The sequence below is a fragment of the Homo sapiens genome, chromosome 8 (genome assembly GCF_000001405.40).
Source record: "Homo sapiens chromosome 8, GRCh38.p14 Primary Assembly".
NCBI classification, from domain to species: domain Eukaryota; kingdom Metazoa; phylum Chordata; class Mammalia; order Primates; family Hominidae; genus Homo; species Homo sapiens.
The window spans coordinates 57,015,104-57,031,206 of NC_000008.11; the positions used below are offsets into that span (position 1 = coordinate 57,015,104).

Consider the following 16,103-nt stretch of genomic DNA (forward strand, 5'->3'; position numbering starts at 1 on the left):
TTCTCAGCCACAAAAGTGCAGCCCTCGATGAGAGGGCGCTTGTGTGTATGTAAATATCAATGCCCACCCATTTTCTAGTCTAATAATGCTCCACCAGTCTCTGCATAATTAGCTTCTGTACTAACTGCTCATATTCTTTCTTCATAGTACTAACTTCTTTGTTTATTGCCTTAAGCATATTGATAATTATTTATTAGGATTGATCAGAATTCTGCTTTGTGTATTATATGTAGTTCAACTTGTTGTCTTTCTTTTATAGTATTTGTATCCATCTGGTATTTAGATATTTTAGCTCACAAAGTCATATTCTGATACATGATAATATGATGTATCAGCTACTATGTCTGGCAAAGTTTCTTGAGGAAGGACAGGAGACCAAACCCCAGTCTGGATCCCTTCCATTGAGATTAAGGAGAGAGGAGGGGATCAGTGCCAGGGCAAAGAGCCCCAAGAACCGCAGAACCACTCTTTGCAATTCTGATTTGCAATCACTCCACTGACAACACATAAGGAAGATGGATGGAGGGAATACAATCTCCTGGGTTTTGATTCACCCTCCCTGGGGATTTGAAAAGAGAGCTTAGAGGAGAGAATGCCTGATGTGGCTCACCTGTGATCTCAGGCTTTGCACTGCCCTGGTATTACTCTATGAACACCAGTAATCTGGGGCTTTTGTCTTTAATTTCTGTTGAGTGCAGAAAGTGACGCTTGCCCCTAGACAGCTCAGGAAGAGACCAGACTATAGCTTAAAGCCTTTCTCTAAGCTTTCCTCTCACTGCTGTCACCAAGGTACAGACTGTGAGACTGAGGCCATCCTTCAACCAAGATGTAGCTGCCCATCCACTCACAAGTCCAGACTGATTTCAGCCCTTTTTTTTTTTAATTTCTCAACTCCTCTTCTTTTTCCTTTCTATTGTTTCTTTAGGTTTGATTTTCAAATAGAGAACCAACAGTTCATACTGATTTTAATATCTTGATAGACATATATAATCTGGCATATTGATCTTCCTTTCTGGCTATTTCCTTTAACTCCTGCTATCTCAGATATGCATTAAAGGTCATTGTTATATTTTATTCAACACTGGGGGGCTTTACAATATAAGGGTTCGGGAATTGGCATGCTCAGAAATTATTGAAACCAGAAATCACTTTGATTTTTTTCAAATCTGTGAAACATATATCCTTATGCATTTGAATTGGCTACTTTTCTTTCACCCTTTGCCAAGTTTTCCATGAGATAGTTTTTAAAATCAACTTAATATTGCTTGGGTCATATGAGCTTCATGATAAACCCTATGATCATTAACATAAACAGGAATGTGGCAAAGAAAAAATTAAGAACCTCTGTCTCAACATGAAGCCATAAGGCAGGGTTTTGTTTTGTTTTGTTTCTAATGAGGTAGTGATATAATTATGGTTAAGAGTGTGGGCTTTAAAGTCAGAAATTCAAGTTGGATCATATGAAGGCTCACTCAGTTTTAAACTACATAAACTTCAGTTGGGTTCTTAATCCCTCTAAGCTTTAGTTTGTGCATCTGTAAAAGTGGCTAGTAATAATAGCTACCACATGCATTGATGTGAGAATTAAATTCTATAACGAGTGCTTAATACAGAGCTGATCATACAGCAGGTACCTAATTAAAAGCTACCATTATTTTTATTATGTTTATTGTGTTTTCTGACTTAGGAATATTGCAAAAGATGAATTAAGGTGTTAGACAACTCCTCTTTTTGTTTTTCCCTGTAAAGGCTCATCTACTCTCATGTCCTGCATTTATATTTATATTTGAAAAGTGACAAACCCCCTAGACGGGCAGATATTCAAGTATTATTTCAATGTAAACCCTCAGCTGCCTCTTTCAGTTTTACTGGTCTTCCCTATTATTTGCAGTTTCTGCAAAGTATGGTAATTTATATGAACCAGAAAGACTTTAGAGCCTTTTAAATCTATTGTATTTGTTTAGTCTGATAATGATTTGGAATTAAGATACCTATTTTCCAGGTTTAGCGATACTCTACCTATCTCATGGGTTTTATATTAGGATCACAAGAAGTAACAAATGTTAAAGTGCACTGAAATTAGACTATACGAGTATCATAACAGCTACATAAAATAAAGTTATAAAATAGATAAAACTATGCCTGCATAATTTTGCTATTAAATATATGTTTAAATACATTAAGGATTTAAAACAAAAATTTATATATTACTGATTGGGGATAAGTTTGAAGAATTTATCTTGTTTCGTGATTGCTTGAGTTTCTATTGATGCTTTTGTATTTTGCTTTTGTAGATTTTATTAACATCATTTGAAAAATCTTTGGATCATTTATTTAGATTTTTAAGATAGGGTTTAGGAGACATTTATTCTGGCCAAGATTGAATAACAGGGACTAATTCACACTCCTGCCTAAACAACAAAAAACCTGGACAAAATATATAAAAACAATACTTCTCAGACATTCAACAACAGGAAGCTCATGATCCTGACTCCCAAAAGAAGGGAAGTAAGCAAGGTGAGGCTTGCGGTCATCTCTGTTTTCTGCTGCAGGCATTTAGTGAATTTTGGCACAGGAAGGAGTGAAGCAGGAACAGGGCCATATGAGGGAAAGTCCAGTGAGATCCAGAAGATGCAAAATTTAGAGAGATGTTTGCTGCCAGGGCCGTGCAGGCACAGAATTAGCCCAGAGGAAGAAGAATGTGGAGTCCTCCTTGAGCTGGGGAAGGTTAGGTGACAGGAATTCATAAGAAAGAGTCCAAAGTAAAAGGGATGATGCAGAAAAACAGTTCCAGATACCTGCATTGAGTACTCTTGACTTTCTGACTGATTATTCAGTTCTGCAGGTATAGAGTGACCCCAAGTGAATGAGAAAGGAAACATTATACAGGGCAGAACATTACTGTAGATAACATTGGGCTGGTTGTGGATATTGAGTTCTAGCCAACCAGCTAAAGCAACCATGCTGAACAACCAGAACATTCAGTAGAGACCAAAGAGCTGTCATTACTTAAGAGGAGAACCAAAGTAGTTTTAGAGTAAAGGCTAATCCAAACTCATCCTAACAAACCTAAAAACAAGTTTCAAAAGGGTCAAGTTGTTCTGCAATTAAATTAACTGCCTACCGGAAGAAAATGTGACAATTTTTAAAAGAAGTTAACAAAACTAGACAAACAACATTATATTAACAATAATAAGCACCCAATTAAAATTAGTACAGAGGTGAAGAAGCAGAAAAATGTCACATACAGAGGAGAAAAATCAGTTAATAGAGTCAGACTAAGAATGACATAGGTGACAGAATTAGCAGTCTAAAGGAAACATTAAAATAATGAAGAAAGAAATAAAATTTTCACTAAATTTAAGAAGATTGAAATTAAACAGGCAATGTTTTCTGACTATACCAGATTCAAGTTAAAAATCAATAACCAAAAGATACATGGAATATATCCAAACACTAGAACGTTACACACACACACACACACACACACACACACCTTAATAACACATGGGTCAAATAATCACAAGAAACATTAAAAAAATTTCAAACTGAATGATAAGAAAGCACAATATATCAAAACATGTGAGACATAAGTAGAGCAGAGCATAAAGCAAAATGTAAAGCTTTAAATTACTGTTAGAAAAAAGACTAACATTAATAATCTAAGCTTCTGACTTCATAAACTAGAAAAAACAACAATTTGAATTTAATAATAAGTAAAAGAAGGAACTAATAAATGTAGAAGCTAAAATCAGTAAAATTTTTAAATTGAAATAATATAATTCTGTAAACTCCTTCAGAAAATATAAGTTGATACTTTCCAACTCATTTTATGAATCCATCATGACTCTGATAGCAAAATCAGACAAAGGCATTGCAAGAAAAGAAAACTATGAACAATACCACTGATGAACATGGACAAAATAGCCCTTAACAAAGTTGTCATGGAGAATCCAGTAATATGTATAGATGATTATATATTATAACTAAGTAGAATTTGTGAAAGAAGTGAGAGGTTGCTATAACATTGGAAAATCAAGCAATATAATTTATATATTAATGAAATATAAAGAAAATCATATGATTGTTTCAATATAGGAAGAAAATGCATTTGGTAAAATTAATTTCCTACTTACGTCACAAACTGTCAAAAACCCAAGCAATTTCAAATTGATGAAGACCATATATGAAAAATCTGCAGCTGAAATAATACTTCTTGGTAGGCTGAGGCAGGCAGATCACTTGAGGCCAGGAGTTTGAGACCAGACTGGCCAAAATAGCAAAACCCCATCTCTAAATTAAAATTTTTAAAAAAGCACTTCTTGGTAAAATATATTTTTTCCTCTAAAATTGGGAACAAAACAAGAATGTCTACTAAACACTTCTAATAAATATTGTCCTAGGGTTCTTGGCCAGTTAAATATGGCAAAGAGAATAAATAAAAGACTTATAGATGAAAAATAAAGAAAAAAAAAGCTATTGGCAGGTGATATAATTATATATTAGAAAATTCTAAAGAATCTACAAAACAACAACTATATCTAATTAATGAATTTAGCAACTTTACAGAAACATCAATATACAGAAAAATTAATTGTATGCCTATATACTGGAAATGATTGGGAAAAAAATTTAAGAAATAACATTCTCAGTAACTTCAAAAAATCAACATAAATTTACATAAATTTAACAAAATATGGTCAAGATCCGTATGCTAAAATCTACAAAATATTTATTTTTTCTTTTTTTTTTTTTGAGACAGTCTTGCTCTTGTCGCCTAGGCTGAAGTGCAGTGGCGCATCTCAGCTCACTGCAACCTCCACCTCCCTGGTTCAAGCAATTCTCCTGCCTCAGCCTCCTGAGTAGCTGAGACTACAGGCATGCGCCACCATGCCTGACTAATTTTTGTATTTTTAGTAGAGGCAGGGTTTCACCATGTTGGCCAAGCTGGTCTTGAACTCCTGACCTCAGGTCATCTGCCCACCTTGGCCTCCCAAAATGCTGGGATTACAGGCATGAGCCACTGCACCCAGCCAAAATATTCCTGAGAAAAATTATGAAAGATCTAAACAAATGGAGAGATATACCATGCTCATTAATTGGAAGTCTTGGCATTGTTCTAATGTCAATGTTTTCTAAATTGATCTATAGATTCAGTGCAATCTCAATCAAACTCTCAATGGAATATTTTCATAGAAATTGACAAGCTGATTTTAAAATTTATGTAGAAAATGCAAAGAACCTAATAAAGCTAAAAGAGTTTTGAAAAAAGAAGAAAGAACATAATAACAAAATTTAGGACTGTGATTTCCTGACTTCAAGACTTCTTATATGGCTACAATAATCAGGTCACTGTGATATGGTCATTATAGTAAATATATAGGCCAATGAATCAGAATAAAGAATTTTTAAGTTGATCTACACTACTTTGTCAATCAAATTTTTACAAAATTGCCAAAATAATTTAATGGGGCAAAATAGTCTTTCAACAAATGGTGCTAAAACAACTGAATTGTATGGAATGCCATACAAAGAAATAAATTTGACGTAAATCATAGTCTTACACACAAAAACTAAAACTAGAAAATTCCTGGAATAAATTTTCACTATCTTATGAAAGGCAATGATTTCTTATGACAGGCAATGATTTCTTATGACACAATAAACACAAACCATAAAACAAATACATTGATAAATTTTATCAAAACTAAAACCTGCTCTGCAAAGCAGAATGTTAAAAAAACAGAAAAGCAAGCCACACACCTAGAGAAACAATCATTAATATTTGAAATACATATATCTGATGAAGTTCTTATATTCTGAATATATAAAAAACTCCAGTAATTCAATTCAATTCAGATTACAAACCAATTTTTTTAAAAATATATAAAATATTTGAGTAGCAATTTTACAAAAGAAGAGAATGCCCAAAAGCTCATGAAAAGATGTTTAATAGCATTAGTCATTAGAGAAATGCAAATTCAAACTTCCATGAGACACTGTCTAGACTCGCTATAGGCTCTCTAGACTGGGCAATATTAAAAAGAAATAGAATCTCCCGTCTCCCTCTCGCTCTCCCGTCTCCCTCTCCCTCTCCCGTCTCCCTCTCCCTCTCCCGTCTCCCTCTCCCTCTCCCTCTCCCGTCTCCCTCTCCTTTCCACGGTCTCCCTCTCATGCCGGGCCAAAGCTGGACTGTACTGCTGCCATCTCGGCTCGCTGCAGCCTCCCTGCCTGATTCTCCTGCCTCAGCCTGCCGAGTGCCTGCGATTGCAGGCGCGCGCCGCCACGCCTGACTGGTTGTCGTGTTTTTCTGGTGGGGACGGGGTTTCGCTGTGTTGGCCGGACTGGTCTCCAGCTCCTAGCCGCGAGTGATCCGCCAGCCTCGGTCTCCCGAGGTGCCGGGATTGCAGACCGAGTCTCATTCACTCAGTGCTCAATGGTGCCCAGGCTGGAGTGCAGTGGCGTGATCTCGGCTCGCTACGGCCTCCACCTCCCAGCCGCCTGCCTTGGCCCCCCAAAGTGCGGAGATTGCAGCCTCTGCCCGGCCGCCACCCCGTCTGGGAAGTGAGGAGCGTCTCTGCCTGGCTGCCCATTGTCTGGGATGTGAGGAGCCCTTCTGCCTGGCTGCCCAGTCTGGAAAGTGAGGAGCGTCTCTAACCGGCCGCCATCCCACCTGGGAAGTGAGGAGCGCCTCGTCCCGGCCACCATCCCATCTAGGAAGTGAGGAGCGTCTCTGCCTGGCAGCCCATCGTCTGAGATGTGGGGAGAGCCTCTGCCCCGCCGCCCTGTCTGGGATGTGAGGAGCGCCTCTGCCCGGCCGCGACCCCGTCTGGGAGGTGAGGAGTGTCTCTGCCCGGCCGCCCCGTCTGAGAAGTGAGGAGACCCTCCGCCCAGCAACTGCCCCGTCTGAGAAGTGAGGAGCCCCTCCACCTGGCTGCCACCCCGTCTGGGAAATGAGGAGCGTCTCCGCCTGGCATCCACCCCGTCCGGGAGGGAGGTGGGGGGGTCAGCCCCCTGCCCGGCCAGCTGCCCCGTCTGGGAGGGAGGTGGGGGGCTCAGCCCCCCACCCGGCCAGCCGCCCCGTCCGGGAGGTGGGGGGCGCCTCTGCCCGGCCACCCCTGCTGGGAAGTGAGGAGCCCCTCTGCCCAGCCAGGAGCCCCTCTGCCCGGCCAGCCGCCCCGTCCGGGAGGTGAGGGGTGCCTCTGCCCGGCCGCCCCTACTGGGAAGTGAAGAGCCCCTCTGCCCGGCCAGCCGCCCCGTCCGGGAGGGAGGTGGGGGGGGTCAGCGCCCCCTCCCGGCCAGCCACCCCATCTGGGAGGGAGGTGGGGGGGTCAGCCCCCCGCCCGGCCAGCCGCCCCATCCGGGAGGGAGGTGGGGGGCTCAGCCAGCCGCCCCATCTGGAGGGAGGTGGGGGCCACCTGGCCAGCCACTCCGTCAGGGAGGGAGGTGGGGAGGTCAGCCCCCCGCCCGGCCAGCCACCCGGTCCGGGAGCTGAGAGGCTCCTCTGCCCGGCCGCCCCTACTGGGAAGTGAGGAGCCTCTCTGCCCGGCCACCACCCCATCTGGGAGGTGTACCCAACAGCTCATTGAGAACGGGCCATGATGACAATGGCGGTTTTGTGGAATAGAAAGGCAGGAAAGGGGGGGAAAAGATTGAGAAATCGGATGGTTGCCGTGTCTGTGTAGAAAGAAGTAGACATGGGAGACTTTTCATTTTGTTCTGTACAAGTACTAAGAAAAAGTCTTCTGCCTTGGGATCCTGTTGATCTATGACCTTACCCCCAACCCTGTGCTCTCTGAAATATGTGCTGTGTCCACTCAGGGTTAAATGGATTAAGGGCGGTGCAAGATGTGCTTTGTTAAACAGATGCTTGAATGCAGCAGGCTCCTTAAGAGTCATCACCACTCCCTAATCTCAAGTACCCAGGGACACAAACACTCTGCCTAGGAAAACCAGAGACCTTTGTTCACTTGTTTGTCTGCTGACCTTCCCTCCACTAGTGTCCTATGACCCTGCCAAATCCCCCTCTGTGAGAAACACCCAAGAATGATCAATAAAAATAAATAAATAAATAAAATTAAAAAAAAAAAAGAAATAGAAAATGATAATACTAAGTGTTGGAAAAGATGTGGAGCAACTAGGACTCATACACTGCTGGTAGAAGTGTAAAATGTTATAACCACCTTGGACAAGAGTTTGGCAGATTCTTACAAAGTTAAATATATACTTACCAGTAATTTCACTCCTAGATATTTGCCCAAAATAAGTAAAAACTTATGTTGACATCGAAAGACATGGACACAAAAATTTATAGCCATTTTATTCATACTAACTAGTAACTGAAAATAATACAAATATCCATTAACTGGTGAATGGATAAAAATTATGATATATTTACACAATGGACCACTACTCAGAAATAAAAAGAAATGGCATCACAATATGAATGAGTTTCAAAAACATTATACTGAGCAAAAAGCCAGAAACAATAGATTGTATAGTGTATCATTTCATTTATATGGCATTATAGAACAGGCAGTAGTAATCCATGATGGTAGAAATCAGATCAGTGATTGCTTAGATCTGAGAGTAGAGGGTTATTGTCTGCAAAGGGGCACAAAAGGAACTTTTGGAGTTGTAGAAATACCTAGGAATCCAACTTGCAAGGGACGTGAAAGACCTCTTCAAGGAGAACTACAAACCACTGCTCGATTAAATAAAAGAGAACACAAACAAATGGAAGAACATTCCATGCTCATGGGTAGGAAGAATCAATATCGTGAAAATTGCCATACTACCCAAGGTAATTTATAGATTCAATGCCATCCCCAGCAAGCTTCCAATGACTTTCTTCACAGAATTGGAAAAAACTACTTGAAAGTTCATATGGAACCAAAAAAGAGCCCACATTGCCAAGTCAATCCTAAGCCAAAAGAACAAAGCTGGAGGCATCACGCTACCTGACTTCAAACTACACTACAAGGCTACAGTAACCAAAACAGCATGGTACTGGTACCAAAACAGAGACATAGACCAATGGAACAGAACAGAGCCCTCAGAAATAATGCCGCATATCTACAACCATCTGATCTTTGACAAACTTGACAAAAACAAGAAATGGGGAAATGATTCCCTATTTAATAAATGGCACCATTTATTAATTCCCTACTTAATAAATGGTGCCATTTATTAATTCCCTATTTAATAAATGGTGCCATATGTAGAAAGCTGAAACTGGATCCCTTCCTTACACCTTATAAAAAAATTAATTCAAGATGGATTAAAGACTTAAATGTTAGAACTAAAACCATAAAAACTCTAGAAGAAAACCTAGGCAATACCAGTCAGGACATAGGCATTGACAAGGACTTCATGTCTAAAACACCAAAAGCAATGGCAACAAAAGCCAAAATTGACAAATAGGATCTAATTAAACTGAAGAGCTTCTGCACAGCAAAAGAAACTACCATCAGAGTGAACAGGCAACGTACAGAATGGGAGAAAATTTTTGCAATCTACTCATCTGACAAAGGGCTAATGTCCAGAATCTAAAATGAACTCAAAATTACAAGAAAAAAAAAAAACAACCCCATCAAAAAGTGGGCAAAGGATATGAACAGACACTTCTCAAAAGAAGACATTTATGCAGCCAAAAGACACATGAAAAAATGCTCATCATCACTGGCCATCAGAGAAATGCAAATCAAAACCACAATGAGACAGCATCTCACACCAGTTAGAATGGCGATCATTAAAAAGTCAGGAAACAACAGGTGCTGGAGAGGATGTGGAGAAATAGGAACACTTTTACACTGTTGGTGGGACTGTAAACTAGTTCAACCATTGTGGAAGTCGGTGTGGCAATTCCTCAGGGATCTAGAACTAGAAATACCTTTTGACCCAGCAATCCCATTACTGGGTATATACCCAAAGGATTATAAATCATGCTGCTATAAAGACACATGCACACATATGTTTATTGCGGCACTATTCACAATAGCAAAGACTTGGAACCAACCCAAATGTCCAACAATGATAGACTGGATTAAGAAAATGTGGCACATATACACCATGGAATACTATACAGCCATAAAAAATGATGAGTTCATATTCTTTGTAGGGACATGGATGAAGCTGGAAATCATCATTCTCAGCAAACTATCACAAGGACAAAAAACAAAACACTCCATGTTCTCACTCGTAGGTGGGAATTGAACAATGAGAACACATGGACACAGGAAGGGGAACATCACACACCAGGGCCTGTTGTAGGGTGTAGGGAGAGGGGAGGGATAGCATTAGGAGACATACATAATGTTAAATGACGAGTTAATGGGTGCAGCACACCAACATGGCACATGTTTACATATGTAACTAACCTGCACGTTGTGCACATGTACCCTAAACTTAAAGTATAAAAAAAAAAGTGCTACATGTTAAGGTTCTATGAGTATACATATTTTATTTAAAAAATCATTGAACTGTAAACCTAAAATAATCACATTTTATCATATGTAAACTATATCTCATATTTTATTTAAAACAGAAGTAGATACTGTTTTCAATGTTTTAAAATATTTAATCAAGACAAGCAAACAAATCTGATTAGAGCTCAGTAAGTGGAGAGAACATGATCACACTTTTTCTTTATATTGGATGCATTGATGTCCTCAGCATAAAGACTGTAAGTTTATTTAGTAATTCTTATCTATTATTTAAGGTCACACGGTTAATTTTTAAAGCTTCACATGACAACACTAAACAATAAACTAGTTTAAAAGTTGGCATCTGCATTGTGGATTTAATATAATAATGTGTGCTCATCATGACAAGCCAAACAATACAGAAATGTGTACATATATAAATAGTCCCTAACTCTCCTGTATGTGTGTCCAACCCTCCCTCTTCATTCCCAAACTTTTAGAAAAACAACAGAAGCAATTTTCTATGTGTTCTGCCATACCCTCTCCCTGTTATGTCAACACATACAAACATCCATTTATATTAAGAAAGGAAGAGAGACTTGAGCTAGCATGTGAGCACATGCAATGTAATTATTATTTAAAATAAAAAAGTTTAAGTTAATATTAACAAATTCAACTTACAATTTTTTAAAGTTGCATAGCTTTCCAGAGACTGGTTGTACCACAACGTATTCAACCATCTCCATGTTGATGAACATTCAGATTTTCTTTTCTATTTTTGCTAATACTAAGGATGCTCAGAGTGCCAAGTTTATAGTTTATGCTCAACAAATATTTATGAATCAAGGAATGAATGCTGGAATAAATGTCTTTATTCTGAAATCCATAAGGAAAAGAGCATATCAGAAAACACTCTTTATCTCCTCCACTTCATTCTATTTGTGGCTTTCACTTAACCTTGTCATAGGCATTTAACAGTGAAAACAGAGATTTTCAATGTTAAAAAATTCAGCACCAAATCATACATGACATACCAAAGTTTGAAATGGAAGAAAGTGGAGTTGTCCTGGCTGAAATGGAGTGAAAGGGTGAGGCTCCACTCCAGCAACCCAGGGACATCTTGTCAAGTTCTGCAGAAGAGGATTTGAAGTCCAGTGATCTACAACTCAGTTAATTTATCCTACTCTCCCATTACTATTTCTGAGGTCAATGCCTGAACTTGAGAGAATTCTAATGCTGTTTTAATGGCTATGAGGTTGTTTTTTCAGTGAAAATGCTCCCAGTAAAATCACAAAGATCTAAACCAGAGTTTTGGTTCTATTTCTTAAGCAATGTTGCTACTAATTGCTAAAATGAAAGGATGTGATGTATAAGCACCATAAGTACTATGTAAATATTACATTTGACTCAGAATTTAGAAAGAAAATCATAATACTGTACCTTACTATTCACTATACATAATTTTGGAAAATGTGATGAAGACAGTGTTCAGTTTGAGTTAGTGCAGGAGATGCTATAAGTATGTATTGTGTTTCATATAGAACAAAAGTTGATGGCCTGTTAGTACATAAAGACAAAAATTACTTGTCTATGCTTATATGATATAAACATAAAACGTATTTAAAATAGCTTTCTTTTTTTTTTTTTGACATGTTTTCATCTGATAAAATAGCTTTCCGATAGAAACTTCATTCAGTTTCAACTGGAGAACATCTAGATGTTTTCTTTACGCAGATCTGTATATTTCCTGATTCAGTTTCAGTGTGTATTTTCAGGGAAAACGACTTAATTTAAGTATTGAAGAAGTATTTGCTGTTCAGCCATGTAACAATGATGTCCTCCTTACCACCGTTAGGAGGCTCTCGGACCTATCTCTGCAAAAGCTAGGAAAATTGAGTAAAACAGACGTGATCCCTATTCTCCTAGAAGTTTATAATTAGACTCTATACATACATATTGTCAATTATCTAGATTTGCCAAATACAACAGTCTCCTGACAGCACCACAGCTCTGGCCATATTACATCACCCAGTGTAATTATTATTTAAAATAAAAAAGTTTATATAATGTATGGATTTTATACCCTCAAAGCCACCCTTTTCTCTTCCACAGTGTTAAAGGGATTACACTATTTTTATTCATTCAACAAAGATATAGTACTTGTTGCTATGTGTCAACACTGTTTTAGTGATGGGGATATGGCAAGAGAGCTTACATCCTAGTAAGCAAAGTACATATCATACACGCACAACAAATTAATATAATATTAGGTAGCGATTTATTATATTGTCAAGGTAGAGATAAGTGACATGAAAACTACAGCATTTAATATAATGTCATTTAATATTAATATAATTTAATATATTAAATTTAATACAATGTCATTTAAATAGGTCAGGTAGACATTAATATTTAATGGCATGAAAAAATACAATAGAATAGGGAAATAGAAATTGATGTGGGAGTGGCAGTGACAGATGCTTTTTTGTTTTTTTTAGACAGAGTCTCTCTCTTTCACCCAGGCTGGAGTGCAGTGGCATGATCTCGGCTCACTGCAGCCTCTGCCTCCCGGGTTCAAGCAATTCTTGTGCCTCAGCCTCCTGAGTAGCTGGGACTACAGGAGTGCGCCACCACGCCTGGCTAATTTTTGTATTTTTGGTAGAGACGGGGTTTCACCATGTTGTCCAGGATGGTCTCGATCTCCTGACATTGGGATCCGCCCATCTCGGCCTCCCAAAGTGCTGGGATTACAGGCGTGAGCCACTGTGCCCGGCGAGAGATGCTCTTTTAAATAGGATAATCCTTGAAGACTTCTGTACATAATATCTGAATAAAATTGTGAATTAAGTGGGGTTACGTTATGTGAGGGTCTGCTGGAAGTACATTTTTCTTGGCAAGATGAATAGCAACTGAGTAAATGTTGAGAATACAAGTATGTTTTATTTCAAGAACAGTCAAGAGACTTGGTGTCTGGAACCAAGTGCTTAAAAGGAAGCACATAGGAGATACGTTCAGAGTCAGGCAGGGGCCACATCATGCAGGTCTTACACAGGGCAGGCATGATTTGGGATTTTACTATGAATGAAACAGGAAGTCATGTGGATGCTATACTATAGGTAGGCAAGAGTGGAAGCAAAACCAGCTAGGAGGCCAGTGCATAACAAGCTAAAGGGGATGGTGGTAGGCAGCAATGGAAGTGAGAAAAAGTAAACAGGTTGGGCTACATTTTGAAAACAGAGATGACAGAACTTGCTAATAGATTAGCTGCAGAGAGTGAGGGAAAGGAAAGAATGAATACTAAGTTTCTGACCTGTACAACTGGATGAATAGAGATGACCTTTACTGAGATGGAAAAGACTGGGGAAGGAGCTGATTGTGAAGGTTACTATGGATAGACGTCCCCTCCAAAACTCATGTTGAAATTTAATCCCCAATGTGGCAATATTGAGAGTGGGGGGCCTTTAGGAGGTGATTCACATGAGCTAGCATGTGAGCACATGCAGTCCCCTCAGCATGAGATGGCCTGCACCCGCCTCAGGATACTGCAGAGAGTTCCCACCAACAACAAGTCCTTCACTAGATGTGGCCCCTCAACCTTAGACTTCTCAGTATCCATAATTGTAAAAAAAAACCAGTCCTTTCTTTATAAATTACCCAGTTTCAGTTCTGTTGTAAGCGACAGAAAATGAACTAAGACATGGGGACAATCAATAGCTGTACTTAGGATTGTAAGTTGCCTGTCAGAAGATATGTCAGGTGGGCAGGTAGATATACAAGTCTGAAAACTGGTGAGGAGTTCAGAGTATTTAAATCTATAAAATTTGAAGAGAAACACAGGCCTCTGGTAGAGAAAAAAGAGAACACAACCAGCCGGGGCCCCAGGATGCTTCTACATTGAGAGGATCGGGAGCTGCCAGTGCATAGGAGCCAAATTAGGCACGGTGCCCTGGAAACCATGGGAAGGAATTGTTCCAAGATGAAGAGATTGTTTGGCTGTATCAAAAACTACATTTTGGGTAAATGAAAAAAAAAAGACGTTGTTGCTAAATTTGTCAAGGTAAACAGTGATAATGAGAATGGTGAAGTGAAGAGGTGGGTTGGAAACCCTGACAGGAATGTGCTGAAGATAAAATAAGAGGTGAAGAAGGAGCAGCTAGCAGAACCAGCTGTTCCAAGATGTTTGACTAGAACAATGGACTGCAAAAAGTGTGATTCCTGGAGAGGTATTAAGAGTTAGGGATGGTTTTCTTTTGTTTTGCTTTATTAAGAAGCGAGGACTGCAGAACTCTCAGCATGTAATGACTCCATCCAAACGTTTGCACCAGGAGACAACCCAACTCTAGCATGGCTCCTAGCAGCATAAGGCCCTGTCTCCTGGATGCTCCCTCCCCCTCCCCATGAAAATGTCTGCTTTTCTTAAAGTATTTTCTTAAAAGGGGTTACAACTGAGAATCCTTCCTCTTCTCTGTAAGATGTATATATGTCTCCCATAACTCAGGAGTGTCTTTCTCAAAGACAAGAATGCGCCTCAGGAAGAATGGAGCCTCTGTCTCCCAGTGTTTGTGGGAGGACGGAATCCTAACTTGGATAATTGCCAGGTGGAGTGCACAGCCGGCCCAATCGCACTTCCACTTGATCAACCTCTTGTAATTTTTTACTTCCCTGACTCTACTGAGCGTCTTCTCGCCCCCTCCCTACTCCCTTCACAACACCCAGTCACCTCTGCACAAACTGGAATTGAGCTCAGCCATTTCCCCTTTGTCAGCAATTACTGAAGAAGATCTGTTTTCACTGTTTTGACTAATGTCTGACCTTGTTTATCTTTGACAGTAGGGAGAGATTGCAGCATATGGGCAGGTGGACGGGATTACTCCAACAGAGGGAAGAATGATGTTACAGGAGAGAGACTAAGGTAATTTGGAGACTTGAGACCTTGAGTAGGCAAGGGTCCCTGTATATGGCCTGAGATTGGCAGTCCATCAGCTGCATGAGGAACGCAGTCTAGGGCTTCGGGTCCCAGTAGGATAGTAGGGTTAATGGCAGAGAAACCTGGAAATTTTCTCAGGAATGCTTCTAGATTTTTAACTGAGGTAAGGGGCTAGGCCATAAACTGAGAGTGACGAAGAGAAGGAAGCTTTTAGAAGTTTGAGGAAAAGAGAACATTGTGAAATAGTTGTCTGAGAAAGTGGGAAAGCAAATTGGCAAAGGAAATGCTTTGTTCTCTATCACTACAACCACTGTCAAAGTCCCAGGATAATAAGACTCACAAGTGAGATGATTGTTTCTCGCTTTATACATAAAGTGCTGTGGCTGCCTGGCGAACAGCCTTTCTCTGGCCCAGCCTTTCTTTGTTTTTAGACCTAAGCCTGCCTCCCACTACTGGTGCTGAAATTCCAGACACTTGCTTTCCTACTAGTCTTTCTTTCAACTAAGTCTTCGCTTATTATCTGTTTTGGCCAAGGAGACCGGAAAAGAAATCCATTCTCAGGGGTGGGACTCTTTTTGGAATTATTTTCTTCACTGATCAGAGGGAGATGCTCTAGGAGAAGTGCCTGCTCCTGTCTCGTGGCCTTTGAATTCTGTGATGTGGGGTGTGGGGTGCGGCTGTGACAGCCACCTCACAAGGGTGAGTAGAAGCAGAGACTGTGCAGACTCGGTGGATCCAGAGATCTGCACTGT

The 16,103-nt window shown here is 39.9% G+C and overlaps 1 annotated feature.

Annotated features, from left to right (window-relative positions):
• Positions 6,647-7,620: an enhancer, noted in NCBI's record as "H3K27ac-H3K4me1 hESC enhancer chr8:57934309-57935282 (GRCh37/hg19 assembly coordinates)". NCBI's record gives its function as "activates a minimal SCP1, AML or CMV promoter by ChIP-STARR-seq in naive H9 embryonic stem cells {active_cell/tissue: H9 hESC(naive)}" and the evidence as "EXISTENCE:reporter gene assay evidence [ECO:0000049][PMID:30033119]".